We start from the raw sequence: 25,450 nt of genomic DNA, 5'->3' as shown, positions 1-25,450 counted from the left end.
TGGGGCATTGCCTCACCCGGGAAGCCCAAGGGATCAGGGAATTCCCTTTCCTAGCAAAGGGAAGCCGTGACAGACGGTACCTGGAAAATCGGGACACTCCTACCCTAATACTGCGCTTCTGCAACGGCCTTAGCAAATGGCACACCAGGAGATTATATCCAGCGCCTGGCTCGGAGGGTCCCACACCCATGGAGCCTCACACAATGCCAGCACAGCAGTCTGAGATCGAACTGCAAGGTGGCAGTGAGGCTGGGGGAGGGGCGTCCACCATTGCTGAGGCTTGAAAAGGTAAACAAAGCGGCCTGGAAGCTCCAATTGGGTGGAGCCCACCGCAGCTCAAGGAGGCCTGCCTGCCTCTGCAGATTCCACCTCTGGGGGCAGGGCATAGCTGAAAAAAAGGCAGCAGAAACTTCTGCAGACTTAAACGTCCCTGTCTAACAGCTTTGAAGAGAGTAGTGCTTCTCCCAGCATGGAGTTTGAGATCTGAGAACAGACAGACTGCCTCCTCAAGTGAGTCCCTGATGCCTGAGGAGCCTAACTGGGAGACACCTCCCAGTAGGGGTCAACTGACACCTCGCAGGGCAGTGCACCTCTGAGATGAAGCTGCCAGAAGAAGGATCACACAGCAACATTTGCTGTTCTGCAATATTTGCTGTTCTGCAGCCTCCGCTGGTGATACCCAGGCAAACAGTGTCTGGAGTGGACTTCCAGCAAACTCCAACAGACCTGCAGTTGAGGGTCCTGACTGTTAGAAGGAAAACTAACAAACAGAAAGGACATCCACACCAAAACCCCATCTGTACATCACCATCATCAAAGACCAAAGGTAGATAAAACCACAAACGAGGGGAGAAACCAGAGCAGAAAAGCTGAAAATTCTAAAAATCAGAGCGCCTCTTCTCCTCCAAAGGAATGAAGCTCCTCTACAGCAACGGAACAAAGCTGGATGGAGAATGACTTTGATGAGTTGATAGAAGAAGGCATCAGATGATCAGTAATAACAAACTTCTCTGAGCTATTGGAGGATGTTCGAACCCATTGCAAAGAAGCTAAAAACCTTGAAAAAAGATTAGACGAATGGCTAACTAGAATAAACAGTGTAGAGAAGTCATTAAATGACCTGATGGAGCTGAAAACCATGGCACAAGAACTACATGACAGATGCACAAGCTTCAGTAGCCAATTTGATCAAGTGGAAGAAAGGGTATAACTGATTGAAGATCAAATGAATGAAATGAAGTGAGAAGAGAAGTTTAGAGAAAAAAGAGTAAAAAGAAATGAACAAAACCTCCACGAAATATGGGATTATGTGAAAAGACCAAATCTACGTCTGATTGGTGTACCAGAAAGTGACTGGGAGAATGGAACCAAGGTGGAAAACACTCTGCAAGATATTATCCAGGAGAACTTCCACAACCTAGCAAGGCAGGCCAACATTCAAATTCAGGAAATACAGAGAATGCCACAAAGATACTCCTCGAGAAGAGCAACTCCAAGACACATACTGTCAGATTCACCAAAGTTGAAATGAAGGAAAAAACATTAAGGGCAGCCAGAGAGAAAGGTTGGGTTACCCACAAAGGGAAGCCCATCAGACTAACAGTGGATCTCTTGGCAGAAACTCTACAAGCCAGAAGAGAGTGGGAGCCAATATTCAACATTCTTAAAGGAAAGAATTTTCAACCCAGAATTTCATATCCAGCCAAACTAAGCTTCGTAAGTGAAGGAGAAATAAAATCCTTTACAGACAAGCAAATGCTGAGACATTTTGTCACCGTCAGGCCTGCCTTACAAGAGCTCCTGAAGGAAGCACTAAACATGGAAAGGAACAATCAGTACTAGCCACTGCAAAAACATGCCAAATTGTAATGACCATTGAGGCTAGGAAGAAACTGCATCAACTAACGAGCAAAATAACTAGCTAACATCATAATGACAGGATCAAATTCACACATAACAATATTAATCTTAAATGCAAATGGGCTAAATGCTTGAATTAAAAGACAGAGACTGGCAAATTGGATAAAGAGTCAAGACCCATCAGAGTGCTGTATTCAGGATACCCATCTCATGTGCAGAGACACATACAGGCTCAAAATAAAGGGATGGAGAAAGATCTACCAAGCAAACGGAAAGTTAAAAAAAGGCAGGGTTGCAATCCTAGTCTCTAATAAAACAGACTTTAAATCAACAAAGATCAAAAGAGACAAAGAAGGCCATCACATAATGGTAAAGGGATCAATTCAACAAGAAGAGCTAACTATCCTAAATATATATGCACCCAATACAAGAGCACCCAGATTCATAAAGCAAGTTCTTAGAGACTTAGACTCCCATAGAATAATACTGGGAAACTTTAACACCCCACTGTCAACATTAGACAGATCAACGAGACAGAAAGTTAACAAAGATATCCAGGAATTGAACTCAGCTCTGCACCAAGCAGGCCTCATAGAAATCTACAGAACTCTCCACCCCAAATCAACAGAATATACATTCTTCTCAGCACCACATCGCATTTATTCCAAAATTTACCACATAGTTGGAAGTAAAGCAGTCCTCAGCAAATGTAAAAGAACAGAAATTATAACGAACTACCTCTCAGACCACAGTGAAATCAAATTACAACTCAGGATTAACAAACTCACTAAAACTGCTCAACTACATGGAAACTGAACAACCTGCTCCTGAATGACTACTAGGTATATAACGAAATGAAGGCAGAAATAAAGATGTTCTTTGAAACCAATGAGAACAAAGACTCAACATACCAGAATCTCTGGAACACATTTAAAGCAGTGTGTAGAGGGAAATTTATAGTACTAAATGACCACAAGAGAAAGCAGGAAGGATCTAAAATTGACACCCTAACATCACAATTAAAAGAACTAGAGAAGCAAGAGCAATCACATTCAAAAGCTAGCAGAAGGCAAGAAATAACTAAGATCAGAGCAGAACTGAAGGAGATAGAGACACAAAAAACCCTTCAAAAAATCAATGAATCCAGGAGCTGGTTTTTTGAAAAGATCAACAAAATTGATAGACTGCTAGCAAGACTAATAAAGAATAAAAGAGATAAGAATAAAATAGATGCAATAAAAAATGACAAAGGGGATATCACCACCAATCCCACAGAAATACAAACTACCATCAGAGAATACTATAAACACCTCTATGCAAATAAACTAGAAAATCTAGAAGAAATGAATAAATTCCTGGACACATACACCTTCCCAAGACTAAACCAGGAAGAAGTAAAATCCCTGAATACATCAATAACAGACTCTGAAATTGAGGCAATAGTTAATAGCCTACCAACCAAAAAAAGTCTAGCAGCAGATGGATTCACAGCTGAATTCTACCAGAGGTACAAGGAGGAGCTGGTACCATTCCTTCTGAACTATTCCAATCAGTAGAAAAAGAGGGAATCCTCCCTAATTCATTTTATGAGGCCAGCATCATCCTGATACCAAAGCTGGGCAGAGACACAACCAAAAAAGAGAATTTTAGACCAATATCCTTGATGAACATCGATGCAAAAATCCTCAATAAAATACTGGCAAACCGAATCCAGCAGCACATCAAAAAGCTTATCCACTATGATCAAGTGGGCTTCATCCCTGGGATGCAAGGCTGGTTCAACATATGCAAATCAACAAACGTAATCCATCATATAAACAGAACCAAAGACAAAAACCACATGATTATCTCAATAGATACAGAAAAGGCCTTCGAAAAAATTCAACAGCTCTTCATGCTAAACACTCTCAATAAACTAGGTATTGACGGGATGTATCTCAAAATAATAAGAGTTATTTATGACAAACCCATAGCCAATATCATACTCAATGGGCAAAAACTGGAAGCATTCCCTTTGAAAACTGGCACAAGACAGGGATACCCTCTGTCACCACTCCTATTCAACATAGTGTTGGAAGTTCTGACCAGGGCAATCAGGCAAGAGAAAGAAATAAAGGGTATTCAATTAGGAAAAGAGGAAGTCAAATTATCCCTGTTTGCAGATGACATGAGTGTATATCTAGAAAACCCCATCGTCTCAGCCCAAAATCTCCTTAAGCTGATATGCAACTTCAGCAAAGTCTCACAATACAAAATCAATATGCAAAAATCACAAGCATTCCTATACCCCAGTAACAGACAAACAGAGAGCCAAATCATGAGTAAACTCTCATTCACAATTGCTTCAAAGACAATAAAATACCTAGGAATCCAACTTACAAGGGATGTGAAGGACCTCTTCAAGGAGAATTAGAAACCACTGCTCAACGAAATAAAAGAGGACACAAACAAATGGAAGAACATCTCATGCTCATGGAAAGGAAGAATCAACATTGTGAAAATGGCCATACTGCCCAAGGTAATTTATAGATTCAATGCCATCCTCTTCAAGCTACCAATCACTTTCTTCACAGAATTGGATAAAACTACTTCAAAGTTCATATGGAACCAAAAAAGAGCCCCCATTGCCAAGTCAATCCTAAGCCAAGAACAAAGCTGGAGGCATCATGCTTTCTGACTTCAAACTGTACTACAAGGCTACAGTAACCAAAACAGCATGGTACGGGTACCAAAACAGAGATATAGACCAATGGAACAGAATAGAGCCCCCAGAAATAATACCACACATCTACAACCATCTGATCTTTGACAAACCTGACAAAAACAGGAAATGGGGAAAGGATTCCCTATTTAATAAATGGTGCTGGGAAAACTCGCTAGCCATATGTAGAAAGTTGAAACTGGATCACTTCCTTACATCTTATACATAAATTAATTCAAGATGGATCAAAGACTTAAATGTTAGACCTAAAACCATAAAAACTCTAGAAGAAAATCTAGGCAATACCATTCAGGACATAGGCATGGGCAAGGACTTCATGACTAAAACACCAAAAGTAATGGCAACAAAAGCCAAAATTGACAAATGGGATCTAATTAAACTAAAGAGCTTCTGCACAGCAAAAGAAACTACCATCAGAGTGAAAATGCAACCTACAGAATGGGAAACAATTTTTACAATCTACCCTTCTGACAAAGGGCTGATATCCAGAATCTACAAAGAAGTTAAACGAATTTACAAGAAAAAAAATCAAACAGCCCCGTCAAAAAGTGGGCAAACGATATGAACAGACACTTCTCAAAAGAAGAAATTTATGCAGCCAAAAAACACATGAAAAAATGCTCATCATCATTGGCCATCAGAGAAATGCAAATCAAAACCACAATGAGATACCACCTCACACCAGTTAGAATGGTGATCATTAAAAAGTCAGGAAACAACAGGTGCTGGAGAGGATGTGGAGAAATAGGAACACTTTTACACTGTTGGTGGGACTGTAAACTAGTTCAATCATTGTGGAAGACAGTGTGGCGATTCCTCAGGGATCTAGAACTAGAAATATCATTTGACCCAGCCATCCCATTACTGGGTATATACCCAAAGGATTATAAATCATGTTGCTATAAAGACACATGCACACGTATGTTTATTGCGGCACTATTCACAATCTCAAAGAGTTGGAACCAACCCAAATGTCCATCAATGATAGACTGGATTAAGAAAATATGGCACATATACACTATGGAATACTATGCAGCCATAAAAAAGGATGAGTTCATGTCCTTTGTAGGGACATGGATGAAGCTGGAAACCATCATTCTCAGCAAACTCTCACAAGGACAGAAAACCAGACACCACATGTTCTCACTCATAGGTGGGAATTGAACAATGAGAACACTTGACACAGGGTGGGGAACATTACACACCGGGGCCTGTCTTGGGGTGGGGGGAGGGGGGAGGGATAGCATTAGGAGATATACCTAATGTAAATGATGAGTTAACAGGTGCAGCACACCAACAAGGCACATGTATACATACGTAACAAACCTGCACGTTGTGCACATGTACCCTAGAACTTAAAGTATAATAAAAATAAATAAATAAATAAATAAATAAATAAATAAATAAATAAATTCTGGGTTGAAAATTCTTTCCTTTAAGAATGTTGAATATTGGCCCCCACTCTCTTCTGGCTTGTAGGGTTTCTGCAGAGAGATATACTGTTAGTCTGATGGGCTTCCCTTTGTGGGTAACCCAACCTTTCTCTCTGGTTGCCCTTAAGATTTTTTTTCATTTCAACCTTGGTGAATCTGACAATTATGTGTCTTGGGGTTTCTCTTCTTGAGGAGTCTTTTTATTGTTCTCTGTATTTCTTGAATTTGAATTTTGGCCTGGCTTGCTAGGTTGGGGAAGTTCTTCTGGATATCTTGAAGAGTGTTTTCCAGCTTGGTTCTATTCTCCCCACCACTTTCAGGTACACCAATCAAATGTAGGTTTGGTCTTTTCACATAGTTCCATATTTCTTGGAGGCTTTGTTCATTCCTTTTCATTCTTTTTTCTCTAATCCTAATGCATTATTTCATCAAATTGATCTTTAATCTCTGATATTCTTTCTTCTGATTGATCTATTCAGTTATTGATACATGTGTATGCTTCATGAAGTTCTCTTGCTGTGTTTTTCAGCTCCAACAGGTCATTTATTTTCTTCTCTAAACTGGTTAGTCTACTTATCAATTCCTCTAACCATTTTTCAAGGTTCTTAGCTTACTGGCATTGGGTTGGAACATGCTCCTGTAGCTCAGAGGAGTTTGTTATTACCCACCTTCTGAAGCCTACTTCTGTCAGTTCATCAAACTCATTCTCCATTCAGTTTTGTTGCCTTCCTGGCGAGGAATTGTAATCCTTTGGAGGAGAAGAGGCATTCTGGTTTTTGGAATTTTCAGCCTTGGTGTGCTGGTTTTTCCTCATCTTCATGGATTTATCTACCTTTGGTCTTTGATGCTGGTGACCTTCAGATGAGGCTTCTGTGTGGACTTACTTTCTGTTGATGTTGATGCTCTTCCTTTCTGTTTGTTAGTTTTCCTTCTAATAGTCAGGACTCTTTGCTGCAGGTCTGTTGGAGTTTGCTAGAGGTCCACTCCAGATCCTGTTTGCCTGGGTATCAGCAGCGGAGGTTGCAGAACAGCAAAGATTGCTGCCTGCTCCTTCCTCTGTAAGCTTCATCCCACAGGGGCACCCACCAGATGCCAGCTGGGGCTCTCCTGTATGAGGTGTTTGTTGGCCCCTGCTGGGAGGTTTATCCCAGTCAGGAGGCTCGGGGGTCAGGGACCCACTTGAGGCAGTCTGTCCTTTAGCAGAGCTCGAGCACTGTGCTGGAAGAGCCACTGCTCTCTTCTGAGACAGCAGAAGGAATGTTTAAGTCTGCTGAAGCAGCAGCCAACCCTTCCCCCAGGTGCTCTGTCCCAGGCAGATGGGAGTTTTATCTATAAGCCCCTGACTTGGGCTGCTGCCTTTCTTTCAGAAATGCCCTGCCCAGAGAGGAGGAATCTAGAGAGGCAGTCTGGATACAGTGGCTTTGCGGTGCTGTGTTGGGCTCTGCCTAGTTTGAACTTCCCAGTTCCTTTGTTTACACAGTGAGGGGAAAACTGCCTATTCAAGCCTCTGTAATGGTGGATGCCCTTCCCCATACCAAGCTCGAGAGTCCCAGGTAAACTTCATACTGCTGTGCTGGCAGCAAGAATTTCAAGCCATTGGATCTTAGCTTGCTGGGCTCCCTGGGGTTGGGATCTGCTGAACTAGACCACGTGGCTTTCTGGTTTCAGCCTCCTTTCCAGGGCAGTGAATGATTCTGTCTTACTGGCATTACAGGCCAGTAAGTACCCCACTGGGGTACGAAGAAAAACTCCTGCAGCTAGCTCGGTGTCTGCCGTAATAGCCACCCAGTTTCGTGCTTGAAACCCAAGGCCCTTGTGGTGTAGGCACCCAAGGGAATCTCCTGGTCTGCAGGTTGCGAAGACCATGGGAAAAGCATAGTATCTGGGCCAGAATGCACTGTTCCTCATGGCATTGTCCCTCACAACTTCTCTTGGCTAGGGGAGGGAGTTCCCTGACCCATTGTACTTCCCTTGTGAGGTGATGCCCCACCCTGCTTCTGCTCGCCCTTTGTGGGCTACACTCACTGTCTAACCAGTCCTATTGAGATGAGCTGGGTACCTCAGTTGGAAATGCAGAAATCACCCACCTTCTGCGTTGATCTCGCTGGGACCTGCAGACTGGCACTTCTCATGCTTAAATCATATATTAGCTAAATATAAAACACTTTAAAAATACTACTTCATTTCTTCTTGAACCATATTGATATTAACAAATCTTGCGTTCATCTTCTCTTGTTATTGTTGTCTTTATCCTCTGAAATTTCTTAGAATCGTTCTTTAATCTTAGGTATTATTCATAAATTGATATTGAATGTAGCTATTCACAATAAATTGTTTCTTTGCTGAGAAACACCATGCCTGAGGCTCAGGTGCACAGACCCTGCCTTAAAATGAGGCTATAACATGAGAACCTGTAAATCTCCCCTGTTCCCACCATGAACCTTGAACCAAGTAACAAACAACAGCAATCTATTGCCAGGAAAGGTACAGGAGCATGGAAAATTTAAAGTCTGTGGTGCACTGAAGGTAACTATAGTAACACTAACAGCCAAATCTAGGTCAATATTGACTCAACCCACTGTGCCACTACCTGAACAATGTGGCAGAAGAAAAAGTATGCCCATTTCCAGGTATAACTACTGTATACCTCAGTCTCTAATTTCTTTTATACACAATATCTGGTATTCAATTAAAAATTATGAGACATAAAAATAAGAAAGATTAAGAAAAGTCATGTTGCCAAGAGATAAAGCAGTCAAAAGAACAGACCCAGAGATGGCCAGATGTTGAAATTATCAGTCAGGAATTTTTTTAAAAAACTATGATTAAAATGTAAAAGATCTAATGTTGAAGGAAGAAATCATTCATGGACAGAGAGGGAATTCCAGAAGAGAGATGAAAACTATAAGAAGGTCAATGGAAATGCTGGAAATAAAAACCACAATATCAAATATGAGAATTCTTTCAATGGGCTTACAGCAGACTGCATGTAGCAGAGCAAGGAATCAGTAAATTGGAGGACAAGTCAATAGAAATCAACCAAACAGAAACACAAAGAGAATAAAGAAAACAAACAAAAAAGAACAGAACATCCAAGAGGTGTAGGAAAATTTATCTATCTAACATTTCTAGGTGTGGGTTTTTACTTTTTGTCATGTTTAAATACTCCAGGATCCTATTCAATCTTAGGTCTCATATTTTCTCTAATTCTCTGAACTCCTAGGCAATTATTTCCTGAAACATTTCTTCCCCTCTATTTATTTTTACTATATCTTTCTGGAGGTTCTGTTATATGAATGTTAACCTTTCAATTTTTATTCATCTTTCAACTATATACACATATTTCTGTATTATAGAAACATATTTGTTGTATATTTAAAATACATAATATTTAACCTCTTTAGCTCTTCCTGATGCATTCTGAGAGTTCCTTGACTGTTGTTATGGCTCTCACTAATCTGTTATACAGCTAACCAATCCAGCATTCAACCCATTTATTATGTTATTTTAACTAATACATTTTTTTTTACTTCTAACCTCCAGTTGTTGTTTTTTTTTAACTGATTCTTTTTGCTTTGTTTCCAGTACTGCAACTTTCCTGGGTTACACTTCTGATGAATTCAGAAGTGTGAATCTGGGGAGGGAGTGGTCACTCTTCAAAGCAGGTCACTTGTGTGTGGTCACTCTTCAAAGCAGGTCACTTGTGTGTTAACAATCTGTATCCACTCTGGCACTGTTCTAAGTGTGGTCTCTCTTTTTTAATCATCTTGGTTTAAGATTTGAAGGGGGGTGGCAGTAGGAGAAAATATGTTTTTACCTACTCCCTAACCCAGTTAGGCTTCCCTGCCAATAGGACATTTTGTTGTTGCCCCTAGCTGTGCTGTGGTGTACTAACTGGCAAAGGATGGACAATAGCCCATTCAGAGTTGAGTTGATGGGGAAAGTACACACCTAAATATTTTCTTCCACTTTATCTCCTATTCATGGCGTCCAGGGTTGTTCAGTGTTGCTGCTTCCTCTTGTTGGGATCTAACCATCTTACGTCACCTCAGGGATTTATAATGATTTCTATATTGGTTTGATGAATCCAAAACTGGTTTCAGAGAGAGAATTGGGAGCCTGTGCTAATCTGCCATCTTACCAAAAACTGCATAAAACCAGTATTTGAATGTAGGGATTCTGACTTCAGAGACAATACCAATATCTTATCTATAATACTACATGATTTTCTGAATCTGTTTATCCCTCCTTACATATGTTTTACTACTTTTCATGATTACGCCTTTGTGTGATTACAACTTACACCTGGAATTCTGAACAGGCTTTTTTCACTATTTCTAACTCAGAGAATCTTTAAAATACGCGAAAACATTCTTCTTTAATAGAGACCCTCTAGTGGTTCTTTACAATCATTTTTCCTGTGATCCTTCAACACTTGTATGATACTAATTTACTTTTGATATGTTCCTCTATAAATGGTTTTTAATTTGTTCCATGTGCATATCTGCTGTTGGTCCAAATAGACTAAAAATGCCTGCTCTTTGAAAAATTTTCTAAAATCTAATAGACGGTGATGAATTAGCATTGACTAGCTAAGATATATCATTGATATGACTTAGAGAAAAAAACTCACTTTGTTCAAATCCTCCATTTTTACCCATGAAGTCAAAGAAAGCATCAAGAATTCTGCAGAGGGTTATGACGACTGTTATGTCCTCCATAGGATATGGCTGAAATTTCTGACGATTCCTTATAAATTGTAGTCCGTCTGTGACACTATTTTTAATCATGAATTCAAGACAATCCACTCCTGATTGACTTATAATTTTAGAAGTTTTCAGAAGCCATGACTTAACATAAGGTTCCCATCCCAGATCAACAGGATCCTAATAATAAGGAGCAAAATATAATCTTATGTAAATAAATAAAAATATGGTATCCTTCTACTATCTTACTCTCTTTTTACTTCACCACTGCCCTCTCATAAATATGACTTAGAATTGTCATTCATTAAAGGGCAAATGATCAAAGTAGCTTAAGGAATTAACATTCTCTGGAATGATTTGTGACTTCTATCTATGGTCTTACAAGAAAACAATTGGGGTATTATGTGTAGGAAGGTGTATTGAGGCTATGTGTATGTGGTGAGGGGTACTGCTTACCCAGAAGTCAGCCCTATACTTAGATTTATTCATAACATTCAGTTAAGTAGATTAGAGCATAGGGTTAATTATAGCTAATAACTTCATGTATAGAGAATAGAGACTATAGCTAATAACTTCATGTTATATTTTGTACTTCCCTCCCACTGTCTTCATAGTGTGTTTCCCAAGTTCTTAAGAGTCAGAGTGAGTATGAAAAGGCCTCAGGACCATCTTCCTCTATTGAAAAAATAATTCACATCAGCAGTCTAACCTGTCTATTTGTTTACCCACAGTTGTGGAAAATACTGACACTCCAATTACTAAGAGTAGTATTAAAACAGTAATAATTAAATTCACATTCAATTGTGGATTATGAGGCTTTGGGAGACACAAAGATTTGAAACTATTGAGTTCATGCTGCTGGATACAAAGGTAAAAATAAAATAAACATAAAATGCTGTAAATAATAAATAGTTACTATCATAAACAACATTTTTGCTTTGTTAAAACATTTGTTTTTGAAAGCTTACCATATAGACCATGGCACATCGGCTGACAGTAGCAGGACTGGCCTGAGAGAGATTGTCCACTTCAAAAATCACTCTTATTTTATTAGTTAAAGCTATTCTCTCACTGTTTGCTAGGCACAATGTTCTAGTATCATCTAGCACAGAGTTCAGATTTTCTACCCAAAAGGTGTCCACTGGGCCATCTAGGATAATCCACTGCCAATCAAAATCTGGAGAGAAAAATATTTTTAATGTAACTGAGACTAATGTCCGTCATCTTTCATTACAATCTTGCTAATTTTCTATTTTACTTAGGACATATTTTCTAAGAGGAAAGATATCCTAGAAAACACTAGAGTGAATGTGTTTATATGTAGTCCCTGGTATAACTGAATATGAATAAATATTTATACAGTATACTTAATAATGCTTTAAGCATTGTTTAGACATTCTTAGATTGTTGAATTAGATAATTAACCCTTACAATTTGCTTAGGAGAAACAGCTATAATTTTACCTTTTGCATAATAATATGATTTGTAAGTTTGCCCTTCTACCCCAGAATATTTTTTAGATATATTGCCCTTGGGGAATAGCAAAGGGAAACAGATGTTCTTTGAAGAAATAATCAAACAGAGTTTAAAGTATACTATATTTGGAACCCATTTACTCCTCTTTCCACAGGGTGTTAGTCCATTTGGGCTGCTGTAACAAAAAGCCTTAGACTGGGTAGCTTATAAACTATAGACATTTATTTCTCACAGTTCTGGAGGTTTGGAAGTCCAAGATCATGGCACTAGCAGATTCCTTGTCTGGGGGTGCTATCTTCGTGGTTGACAGATGGGCACATTCTTTGTCCTCACATGGTGGAAGGGGTGAGGAATTTCTCTTGAGCTCCTTTTTCAGGGCACTAATGCCATTAATGAGGGCTCTACCCTCATGACCTAATCAACTCCCCAAGGCCCCCTGCCTCCTAATAGCATCACCTTGGGAGTTAGAATTTCAACACATGGATTTTGGAGGGACACAAACCTTTAGACCATAGCACACATGCTACACCCACCACTGTGCTCCACAATTTTAGAAAATCCATTGGTCAGGATAGGGGAGGTATGAATAGGTCACTATGCAGACAGAAAATAGATAACCACTGAAAAGATATTAAAATATCCCAGAAGAATCCAAGAGTAGAGCTAGGATCCATATAGCCACTACTGCTAAGAGGTGCTCTGACAAATACCTGCCCTAGGAATGGCCTCAAAGTCCCATGAAGGAAACCAATGGTGCCTAATCACTGTACTCTCCCCAAAATAACACACAAATATTCAGTAAAGTAGAAGCAGAAGTAGAAATCTCTTTTAAAGTCTGGATCATATATGTACTAATGGTGGATGTGTTGACATGAGGTGCAACCTGGAGTGGGGAAAGCAATGGTCAGTGCTCCTCCAGTAGACTGACAAGGTCATATACATATTTTGTCCCACTGGCACATAGTAAAGTGTCTGGCATATTACAGGTGTGCAGTTCATTTTAGATAAATCTACTTGGGTTGTATGCTTTGGCCTGGAAATGTACAAATTGTTTGGAGTCCCATTTCAGAGGCAATATCAGTGGCAAATTGTAGATTGCTGCTGGTGCTTATCACATCATTGTTTATTTCTACCTTTAATATCCACTTGGTTCTTTTATAAACTGAAGGACTATTTAAGCCATAGTGCTTATATAATGTAATTATATATATATGTATACATTGTAATATAATATGTGGTAACACTACACAAATTTTAAATAAACATACGAACAAATAAATGGTACAGGAACAAAATATTACCAGTCAAAAAACATGTTTAAACATATAAATATAGCTCATATTGGTTGAGAGTTTGTCTTCTATATTAATAATCTTTCTTGAATTTAGTAACACTTACTGTGATTTTCTGGAATTTTAACAACTTTCTCTATCTCCTCAAAAATATTATCATCAGTCTCTGTTGTATCAGAGGAATCAAGTTTGAAAACCTAAAATATGTAATCAATAATGTTTAAATTTTTATTTAATAACACTTTTCAACTACAATGGATTATATGTCAATATGCTTTCTTGAGTGATAAAAATATAAAAGGCAGAGGGTTCTGTAACTGAAAAGACCAACATATAACCAGCATAGTCTAATGTAACTGACTTGTGACTATAGCTTATTTACTTTGGAAAACTATTTTACTTTGGTTTCTTTTTTCCCCCTGCAAAGACAGTACATGCTTATTGTAGGATGTCAAATAAAACAGAAAAACACAAGAAAGCAAAAGTTCTTTGAATTTCCATTACCCACAGACAATCACCATACATATTTTGGTGTATTTTTTTTTCTAGACTTTCCTTCATATCAGTTCTCAAGTTTTAGAATACATAGAATTACCTGCAGTTTGTTAAATTACAGATTGTAACACCTCATCCTTGGAGATTCTAATTGAATAGGTTTGGGATGAAGCCCAGAATTTTTCACTTTTAATGAAAATTAAATTATCCTGAGTTATTCTAATACATGTCATTTTTACACCAACCTTTGAGAAATTCTGATGTATGTATATTAACATATTAACTCCTTATTATCTTGAGATGGGGAGGCTTAATTATTCATCTCTGTAAAAGAGCTGAGTAATATATCATCAGCTTATTGGCACTGGTTTCCTTAACTATCAATAGTAGTCAGGGAGAAAACCAAATAATAGAGCTATGCTGGGGGCACAGTGTAGGTTCTAAAAGAGAGAGACAAAGGTGCTCATGTTTCAACCAGGTCCCAGCAAATAGTAATCAATTCCTACTAATTCCCACCCTCATCACAAAGTAAGCAAGTCCTAGGCTATTTCCAATTATTATTCCTATTACAAAAGTAATTATTATGCTTGGATATACATCATTATGCTCTAGTGCATTTCTTTCTCTAAATAGATTGTTTTGACTTGCAGAGAACATGGCAGATGGAGGCAGGACTAGATTGCAGCTCCTACTTGGATGGACAGAGAAGCATGTGGAGGCTCACATCATGAACTTTTGCTCCAGAATGACTGCAAGAATAAATCAGGAAAGCCGAGAGAACCCACAGACCCTCTAAAGAAAGTGGATTGCTCCTGCAGGACTGGGGAGACAGCCGAAATACTGAGAGTGTCCAAACTGTGGAAGTGGCAAAGGGGGATCATCCACCCCCAAACACACACCCTCACTAGGGAACCTGAAGGTCTAGATCATGAAAGAAGATCTGCATGAGTTGTGTGACCTTACCTGGAGCTTAGTCAACTTAGATAGCTGAGCAAAATACAGGGGTAGAGGAAGCAGCAGGAAAAGCACTGTGGGCTCACTGGGTCCCCTAGCAAGCCATTTCTGCCTTGCCTCACAGGGGTCCTTGCTGGGGGCTGACAGAGGCATTGAGAAAAGGCCACAGGGAGAAGAAAACCTCTAGCTCAACTTTGTAACAATTTGAACTGATTGAGAAGTCTCCTGGTCAGAACTCAGGGAAGGGCGTGAATCCAGTGTGCAGACTCCATAGGCGGAGGAAGCATGAAAGCCCTACTTGCTTTTGCAGCTGGGAGATGGGTAGCCGGGGCAAGTTCTCAGCCCTGCTCACCCTCTGCCTGGAAACAGACCCGGTGCTATTGCGGGGACACAGTGGGAGTGAGACTAGCCCTTTGGGTTGTGTGGGAGCTGGGTGAGGCCTGTGACTGCTGGCTTTCCCCCACTTCCCTGACAACCTGCATGACACAGTAGAGGCAGCCATAATCCTCCTAGGAACATAACTCCATTGATCTGGGAACCATACTCCTATCCCCCACAGCAGCCACAGCAAGACCCGCCCAAGGAGAGTCTGAGCTCAGACACGCCTAGCCTCATCCCCACCTAATGGTCCTTCCCTACCCACCCTGGTAGCTGAAGATGAAGGGTATATACTCTTGGGAGTTCTAGGGCCTGCCCACTGCCTGTTCCTCCCCATACTACCACAGCTGATGCTTTCTTGAAAGTGCCACCTCCTGGGCCAGGTGAGGTGGCTCACGCCTGTAATCCCAGCACTTTGGGAGGCCAAGGCAGGCAGATCACCTGAGGCCAGGAGTTTGAGATCAGCCTGGCCAACATGGTGAAACCCCATCTCTACTAAAAACACAAAAATTAGCCAGGCATCATGGCAGGCACCTGTAATCCCAGCTACTGGGGAGGCTGAGGCAGGAGAATCGCTTGAACCTGGGAGGCAGAGGTTGCAGTGAGCTGAGATTGCACCATTGCACTCCAGCCTGGGGGACAAGAGGAAGACTTCGTCTCAAAAAAAAAAAAAAAAAAAGGAAGAAAGAAAGTGCTACCTCCTGGCAGGAGGCCAACAAGCACAAAAATAGTGCATTAAACAATGAAAGGTAAGGACCCGTACAGAGTCCATTTTATCCCCTTGCCACTTCCACTGAAGCAGCTGCTGCTACCCGTGGCTGAGAGACCCATAGATGGTTCACAACACAGGACTCTGTGCAGACAACCCCCGGTACCAGCCTGGAGCCTGGTAGACTTCCTGGCTGGCTAGACTCAGAAAAGAGATAACAATCTCTACAGCTTGGCTCTCAGCAAGCCACATCCCTAGGAAAAGGGGGAGAGTACTACATTAAGGGAATACCCTGTGGGACAAAAGAATGTGAACAACAGTCTTGAGTCCTAGACCTTCCCTCTGACAGAGCCTACCCAAATGAGAAAGAACCAGAAAACCAACTCTGTTAGTATGAGAAAACAAGGTTCTTTAGCAGCCCCCAAAAACCACACTAGCTCACCAGCAATGAATCTAAACCAAGACGAAATCCCTGATTTACCTGAAAAAGAATTCAGAAGGTTAGTTGTTTAGCTAATCAGGGAGGCACCAGAGAAAGGTGAAGCCCAATTTAAGGAAGTCAAAAAATAACACAAGAAATGAGGGGATACATTTTTAATGAAATAGATAGCATAAATAAAAAACAATAGAAACTTCAGGAAACAGTGGATGCACTTATAGAAATGCAAAATTCTCTGGAAAATCTCAGCAATAGAATTGAACAAGCAGAAGGGAGAACTTCAGACCTCGAAGACAAGGTTTTCAAATTAACCCAATCCAACAAAGACAAAATAATAATAATAATAAGAAGAAAATATAAACAAAGCCTCCAAGAAGTCTGGGATTATGTTAAATGACCAAACCTAAGAATAATTGGTGTTCTTAAGGAAGAAAAGAAATCTAAAAGTTTGGATAACATATTTGGGGGAATAATCGAGGAAAACTTCACCAGCCTTACTAGAGACCTAGACATTTAAATACAAGAAGCTCGATGAACACCTGGGAAATTCATTGCAAAAAGATCATCGCGTAGGCACACTGTCATCAGGATATCTAAAGTTAAGACAAAGGAAAGGATCTTAAGAGCTGTGAGGCAAAAGAACCAGGTAACCTATAAAGGAAAACCTATCAGATTAACAGCAGATTTCTCAGCAGAAACCCTACTAGCTAGAAGGAATTGGGGCCCTAGTTTCAGCCTCCTTAAACAAAACAATTATCAGCCAAGAATTTTGTATCCAGTGAAACTAAGCTTCATAAATGAAGGACAGATACAGTCAAACAAACAAATGCAGATACAGACAAACAAACGCTGAGAGAATTCACCACTACCAAGCCAGCACTACAAGAACTGCTAAAAGGAGCTCTAAATCTTGAAACAAATCCTGGAAAAACATCAAAACAGAACCTCTTTAAAGCATAAATCTCACAGGACCTATAAAAAATACAATTAAAAAAACCAAAAAAATGAAAAACCAAGTATACAGGCAACAAATAGCATGATGACTGGAATGGTACCTCATAACTCAATACTAACATTGAATGTAGATGGCCTAAATGCTCCACTTAAAAGACACAGAATTGCAGAATGGATAAGAATTCACCAACCATCTGCTGCCTTCAAGAGACTCACCTAACACATAATGACTCACATAAACTTAAGATAAAGGGGTGGAAAAAGACATTCCATGCAAATAGACACCCAAAATGAGCAGGAGTAGCTATTCTTATATCAGACAAAACAAACTTTAAAGCAACAGCAGTTAAAAAAGACAGAGAGACATTATATAATGATAAAAGGCCTTGTCCAACAGGAAAATATCACAATCCTAAATATATATGTGCCCAACACTGGAGCTCCCAAATTTATAAAATGATTACAAATAGACCTAAGAAATGAGATAGACAGCAACACAATAATAATGGGGGACTTCAATACTCCACTGACAGTGCTAGACAGGTCATCAGACAGAAAGTCAACAAACAATGAATTTAAACTATACCCTGTAATAAATGGACTTAACAGATATTTACAGCACATTCTACTCAACAACTGCAGAATATACATTCTATTCATCAGTGCATGGAAATTTCTCCAAGATAGACAATATGAGAGGCCACAAAACAAGTCTCAATAGATTTAAGAAAGTTGAAATTATATCAAGCACTCTCTCAGACCTCAGTGGAAATAAAATTGGAAATCAAGTCCAAAAGGAACCTTCAAAACCATGCAAATACATGGAAATTAAATAACCTGCTCCTGAATGATAACTGGGTCAAAATGAAATCAAGATGGAAATTTAAAAATTCTTTGAACTGAATGAAATAGTGACACAACCTATTGAAACCTCTGGGATACAGCAAAGGCAGTGCTAAGAGGAAAGTTCATAGCCCTAAACACTTATATCAAAAAGACTGAAAGAGCACAAACTGACTTTCTAAGGTCACACTTCAAGGAACTAGAGAAACAAGAACAAACCAAACCCAAATCTAGCAGAAGAAAGAAAATAACCGAGATCAGAGCAAAAATAAATGAAATTGAAACAAAAAATATACAAAAGATAAATAAAACAAAAAGCTGGTTCTCTGAAAAAATAAAATTGATAGACCATTAGAAAGATTAACCAAGAAAAGAAGACAGAAAATCCAAATAAGCTCAACTGGAAATGAAACAGTAGATATTACAACTGACACCACAGGAACACAAAAGATCATTTAAGGTTACTGTGAACACTTTTATGTGCATAAACTAGAAAACCTAGAGGAGATGGATAAATTCCTAGAAAGACACAACCCTCTTAGCTTAAATAAGGAAGAATTAGATACCCTGTATAGACCAATAACAAACATGGAGAATAAAATGGTAACAGAAAAAATTACCAACAAAAAAAGTCCAGGACTAGACAGATTCGTGGCAGAATTCTACCAGACGTTCAAAGAAGAATTGGTAGCAATCTATCTTATTACCCTATTCCACAAGATAGAGAAAGAGAGAATCCTCCCTAAATCATTCTATGAAGCCAGTATCACCCTAATACCAAAACCAGGAAAGGACATAACCAAAAAAGAAAACTACAGACCAATATTCCTGATGAACATAGATGCAAGAATCTTTAACAAAATACTAGCTAACTGAATCCAACAACATATCAAAAAGGTAATCCACCATGATCAGTGGGTTTCAGGGATGCAGGGATGATTTAACATATGCAAGTCAATAAGTGTGATACACCACATAAACAGAATTAAAAACAAAAATCACAAGATCATCTCAATAGATGCAGAAAAAGCATTAAACAAAATCCAGCATTGCTTTATGATTAAAAGTCTCAGCAAAATTGGCATAGAAGGGGCTGGGCACAGTGGCTCATGCCTGTAATCCCAGCACTTTGGGAGGCTGAGGTGGGCAGATCACAAGGTCAGGAGATTGAGACCATCCTGGCTAACACGGTGAAACCCCATCTCTACTAAAAAATACAAAAAATTAGCCAGGCATGTTGGTGGGTGCCTTAGTCCCAGCTACTTGGGAGGCTGAGGCAGGAGAATGGTGTGAACCCAGAATGCAGAGCTTGCAGTGAGCCAAGATCGCACCACTGCACTCCAGCCCGGGCAACACAGTGAGACTCCATCTAAAAAAAAAAAAAAATTGGCATACAAGGGACATATCTCAATGTAATAAAAGCCATCTAAGAAAAACCCGCAACCAATATAATAGTGAGTGGGAAAAAGTTGAAAACATTCCTTCTGAGAACTGGAGCTAGACAAGGATGCCCACTCTTACCACTTCTCTTCAACATAGTACTGGAAATCCTAGCCAGAGCAATCAGACAAGAGAAAGAAATAAAAGGCATCCAAATCAATAAAGAGGAAGTCAAACTGTCACTGTTTGCTGATGACAGGATTGTTTACCTAGAAAACCCTAAAGACTCCTCCAGAACGCTCCTAGAAATGATAAAAGTATTCAGCAAAGTTTCTAAATACAGAATTAATGCACGCAAATCAGTAGCTCTTCTATACACCAACAGTAACCAAGCTGAGAATCAAATCAAGAACTCAACACCTTTTACACTAGCTGCAAAAAAATAAAATACTTAGGAATATACCTAATGAAGGAGGTGAAAGACAAGGAAAACTACAAAACACTGCAGAAAGAAATCACAGACAACACAAACAAATGGAAACACATTCCATGCTCATGGATGGGTAGAATCAATATTGTAAAAATGACCATACTGCCAAAAAAGCAATCTACAAATTCAACACAATTTCCGTCAAAATACCACTATCATTCTTCACAGAACTAGAAAAAACAATCCTAAAATTTATATGGAACCAAAAAAGAGCCCATATAGCCAAAGCAAGACTAAGCAAAAATAACAAATTTGGAGGCACCATATTACTTGATTTCAGGCTATACTATAAGGCCATAGTCACCAAAACAGCATGGTACTGGTATAAAAATAGGCACATAGACCAATGGAAAAATATAGAGAATCCAGAAATAAAGCCAAATACTTACAGTCAACTGATATTTGACAAAGCAAATAGAAACATAAAATGGGGAAAGGACACCCTACTCAACAAATGGTGCTGGGATAATTGGCAAGCCACATATAGGAGAATGAAACTGGATCCTCATCTCTCACCTTATATAAAAATCAACTCAAGATGAATCAAGGGCTTAAATCTAAGACCTGAAACCATAAAAATTCTACAAAATATCATTGAAAAAACCCTTCTAGACATTGGCTTAGGCAAGGATTTCATGACCAAGAACCCAAAAGCAAATGCAACAAAAACAAAGATAAATAGCTGGGACTTAATTAAAGAGTTTTGCACAGCAAAAGGTACAGTCAGCAGAGTAAACAGACAACCCACAGAGTGGGAGAAAATCTTCACAATCTATACATTTGATGAAGGACTAATATCCAGAATCTACAACAAACTCAAGTGAATTAGCAAGAAAAAAACTAAACAATACCATCAAATTAGCAAGAAAAAAAACAACCAATCCCATCAATAAGTGGGCTAAAGATATGAATAGACAATTCTCAAAAGAAGATATACAAATGGCCAACAAACATGAAAAAATGCTCAACATCACTAATTATCAGGGTAATGCAAATCAAAACCACAATACAATACCACTTTATTCCTGCAAGAATGGCCATAATCAAAAAATCAAAAATAAGATGTTGGTGTGGATGTGGTGAACAGGGAACACTTCTACACTGCTGGTGGGAATGTAAACTAGTACAACCACTGTGGAAAACAGTGTGGAGATTTCTTAAAGAACTAAAGTAGAGCTACCATTTGATCCAGCAATCCCACTACTGGGTATCTACCCAGAGGAAAAGAACTCATTACATGAAAAAGGTATTTGCACACACATGTTCATGGCAGCCCAATTCACAATTGCAAAAACATGAAACCAACCCAAATGCCCATCAATCAACAAGTGGATAATGAAACTGTTGTATATATATGTATACTATGGAATACTACAGCCATAAAAATGAATTAATGGCATTCACAGAGCTCTGCATGAGATTGGAGACTATTATTCTAAGTGAAGTAACTCAGTAATGGAAAACCAAACATCATACGCTCTCACTTATAAGGGGGAGCTAAGCTATGAGGATGCAAAGGCATAAGAATGACACAGTGGACTTTGGGGATCCAGGGGGAATGGGTAGGAAGGGGGTGAGAGATAAAAGACTACAAATTGTGTGCAGTGTATACTGCTCAGGTGATGGGTTCAGCAAAATCTCGCAAATCACCACTAAGGAACTTACTCATGTATCCAAATACCACCCGTTCCCCAATAACCTATGGAAATAAAAATAAATAAATAAATAAATAAATAAATTTCTTAAAAATGTGAGACTGTGGGTTAAAAGTTATACATATTTTATTTTTTAATAAATTCCATTAGATTACTTTACAAAAGTTTGTGGCAATAACACTCCCACCATCATTCTACATATCCTTGCTAACACTGAAAATATTCACTATCAATATTGTTAAGGTTTGAAAACCTGATGAGAAAAAAAAGTGCCTATCATTGTTATAACTTTTTTTTGAATAATAGCTGGGCTGAGCATCTTTTCATATATTCATATATTTAATGACAACTGTAATTTTTCTATCGATTTTCTATTTATAGCTTTTCCTCATTTACTTAGTTGATAGTTCCTTATTTATTTTTTCTAACTTTTATTTTAGGTTCAGGGGTATATGTGCAGGGTTGTTATATAGATAAATTGCGTGTCTCGGGGGTTTGGTATACAGATTTTTACCCAGGTAATAAGCTTAGTATCCAATAGGTAGTTTTTTGATCCTCTCCATCCTCCCATCCTCCACCAAGTAAGCCCCAGTGTCTATTGTTCCCATCTTTGTATCCATGTGTAGTCAATGTTTAGCTCTCATTTATAAGCAAAAACATGTAGTATTTGACTTTCTGTTCCTGAGTTAGTTTGCTTAGGATAATGGCCTCCGGCTCCATCCATATTGCTGCAAAGGACATGATCTCATTCTTACGGCTTTGTAGTATTCTATGCTGTATATGTACCACATTTTCTTTATCCAGTCTACCATTGATGGGCATCTAGGTTAATTCCATGTCTTTGCTATTCTGTGTAGTGCTGTGATGAACATATGTATGCATGTGTCTTTATGGTAGAATGATTTATGTTAATTTGGGCATATATGCCCAATAATGGGATGGCTGGATTGAATGGTAGTTCTAAGTTCTTTGAGAAATCACCAAATCACTGTGCTTTCCACAGTGGCTGAACTAATTTACATTCCCACAAGCAGTGTGTCCCCTTTTCTCCATACCCTTGCTAGCATCTGTTATTTTTTAACTTTTTGTAATAGCCATTCTGACTGGTGTGAGATGGTATCTCATTGTGATTTTCATTTGCATTTTTCTAATAATTAGTGATGATGAGTATTTTTTCATATGGTTATTGGCTCAATGTATATCTTCTTTGGAGAAGTGTCTGTTCATATCCTTTGCCCACTTTTTAGTGGGGATGTTTTTTTCTTGCCAATTTGTTTAAGTTTCTTATGGATTCCAGATATTAGATTTTTATCGGATACACAGTTTGCAAATATTTTCTCCAATTCTATAGGTTATCTGCTTATTCTGTTGATAGCCTTTTTTTCTGTGCAGCAGCTCTTTAATTAGGTCCCAATTATCAATTTTTGTTTCATTGCAATTGCTTTTGGTGTCTTCATCATGAAATCTTTGCCCAGGCACATATACAGAATGATTTTCCTAGGTTTCTTCTATAGTTTCAAGTTTTACATGTAAATCATTAATCTATCTTGAGTTGATTTTTGTATATCGTGAAAGGAAGGGGTCCAGTTTCAATCTTCTGCATACATCTAGCCAGGTATCCCAACATCATGTATTGAACAGGAAGTCCTTTTGCCACTGCTTATTTTTTCAAACTTTGGCAACTTTTTGTCAACTTTGTCAAAGATCAGATGGTTGTAAGTGTGCAGTATTATTTCTGGGCTATTCTGCTCTACTTGTCTATGTGTCTGCATTTGTATAAGTATCATGTTGTTTTGGTTACTGTAGCCTTGTAGTATAGTTTGAAATTGGGTAACATGATGCCTTCAGCTTCATTCAGGCTCTTTTTTGTTTCCTAAGAATTTTATAATAGTTTTTTCTAATTCTGTGAAAAATGTCACTGGTAGTTGATAGGAATAGCATTAAGTCTGTAATTGCTTTGCGCAGTATGGCCATTTTAACAGTATCGAATCTTCCAATCCATGACCATGGAATGTTTTTCCATTTGTTTGTGTCATCTCTGATTTCTTTCAGTACTGTTTTGTTATTCTCATTATAGACATCTTTCACCTCCTTGGTTAGATGTATTCCTGGGTATTTTACTTTTTTGTGGCTACGGTGAATGAGATTGTGTTCTTAATTTGGCTCTCAGCTTGGACATTATTGGTGTATAGAAGTGCTACTAATTTTTGTGCCTTGATTTTATATCCTGAAACTTTGCTGAGTTGTTTACGAGATTTGGAGGTTTTGGGCAGAGACTATGGGGTTTTCTAGGTATAGAATCATATTGTCTGCAAACAGAGATAGTTTAACTTCCTCTCTTCTTATCTGGATGTCATTTATTTCCTTCTATTGCCTGATTGCTCTGGCTAGGAATTGCAATACTACGCTGAATAGGAGTAGTGATAGTGGGCATCCTTGTGTTGTTCTGGTTCTCAAGGGGAATGCTTCCAGCTTTTCCCCACTCAGTATGATGTATTGTTTTCCCATTTAAAAAATCTTTATTAACCTATTTAGTTTTAATATTTATTCTTATTCTTTGAGATAGAGTCTTGTGATATTGACCAGGCTGGTCTTGAACTGCCAGGCTTAAGTGACCCTACTGCCTCAGCCTCCAGAGGAGCTGGGATTACAGGTGTATGCCACCACACCTGGCTTCTCTGTTTGGTTTTAAACATCATCTTTTTGTTAATGTGTTTTATCTAATGATATTTACCAGCAATCTCTAGTTATTGCTAATGAGAATAAAAATTTTCCTTTTTGCCACTTGTATCTATTCTGTGATGAATTTTGTATCAAATACTTTATTCACTTTTCTAACAAAGGGTTTTTTAGTCTCATTAATTTGCAAGGTATTTTGGTGGTGCTGGAATCACTAGATCATTTTCCATTCAAACTTAATTCACTTTGTGCTCCTTTAAAAGCAAATATCTTTAACTTCATTCTATCATTTACTGATCATTTAAAAATTCAATGGGAGATTTTCCATTTTTTAATAACATAATTTTTCTCTTTTTAAAAACTATTCATAAGATTTTAAAATTTACTTTTACACTAATAGATGTCTAATGATGTTTTAATATCAGTCTTTGGATAAGCAATTAAATAATCCACATTAGTTAAATAAAAACATTCATTCAATACTAAACTTACATTGGATAAATCTGAGATTCTTGACTTTAGTCTGAGATCAATGTCTTTCTTTGTGTTCTTTGGTGTGTTAAAATATACATAACTTCGAATTGTTGCTGATAATAATCCATCAGTCCATTCCATAGTATTAGGATCCAGTTGTCCATATAGTTCACTGAGAGTGACACACTTTGGATTTAAAACACAAATATCTACTTTTCCTTTTCTTTCTGAAATCTGGGAAAAATCCAGTGTAGTTTTTAAAGACATTAACTATAGACCAATTATTTAGTTTATTTGCATTCTTATTATTAAAAGGTTATAGGAGAAACCTTTCACACCAAAAAAAGATTTTATATAAAGGTAGCAAGTTGCAAGGAACAGTAAATATTGACTTCTTAAAATTATCCATAATATACAAATCATTCTTTTAAAAAATTGTAATACTACAAACAGTACCCCCAGAAAAAGTGGAAAAAAATCTGTGCCTAATCCAGGAACACAGTATATAAAC

The 25,450-nt window shown here is 38.4% G+C and overlaps 1 protein-coding gene across 26 annotated transcripts in view; it reads right to left on the bottom strand.

Annotated features, from left to right (window-relative positions):
- Positions 1 to 25,450, bottom strand: part of DNAH14 (dynein axonemal heavy chain 14) — a 469,633-nt gene that overhangs the window by 181,418 nt on the left and 262,765 nt on the right. For 23 of the 26 annotated variants that reach the window (XM_011544062.3, XM_011544067.3, XM_017000296.2 and 20 more), the window contains 4 exons: positions 24,958 to 25,173; positions 13,596 to 13,686; positions 11,690 to 11,898; positions 10,649 to 10,901 (listed from right to left, as the gene is read on the bottom strand). In XM_011544062.3, the coding sequence (XP_011542364.1) occupies positions 10,649 to 10,901; positions 11,690 to 11,898; positions 13,596 to 13,686; positions 24,958 to 25,173 (769 nt within the window). Of the gene's footprint in view, positions 1 to 10,648; positions 10,902 to 11,689; positions 11,899 to 13,595; positions 13,687 to 24,957; positions 25,174 to 25,450 lie in introns of those variants that run through there. The other 3 variants (XM_011544059.3, XM_011544066.3, XM_047445671.1) reach the window with 3 other exon arrangements.

Source organism: Homo sapiens, chromosome 1, assembly GCF_000001405.40.
Source record: "Homo sapiens chromosome 1, GRCh38.p14 Primary Assembly".
Classification (NCBI taxonomy): Eukaryota; Metazoa; Chordata; class Mammalia; order Primates; family Hominidae; genus Homo; species Homo sapiens.
This window is presented reverse-complemented; position numbering and strand designations above follow the sequence as displayed.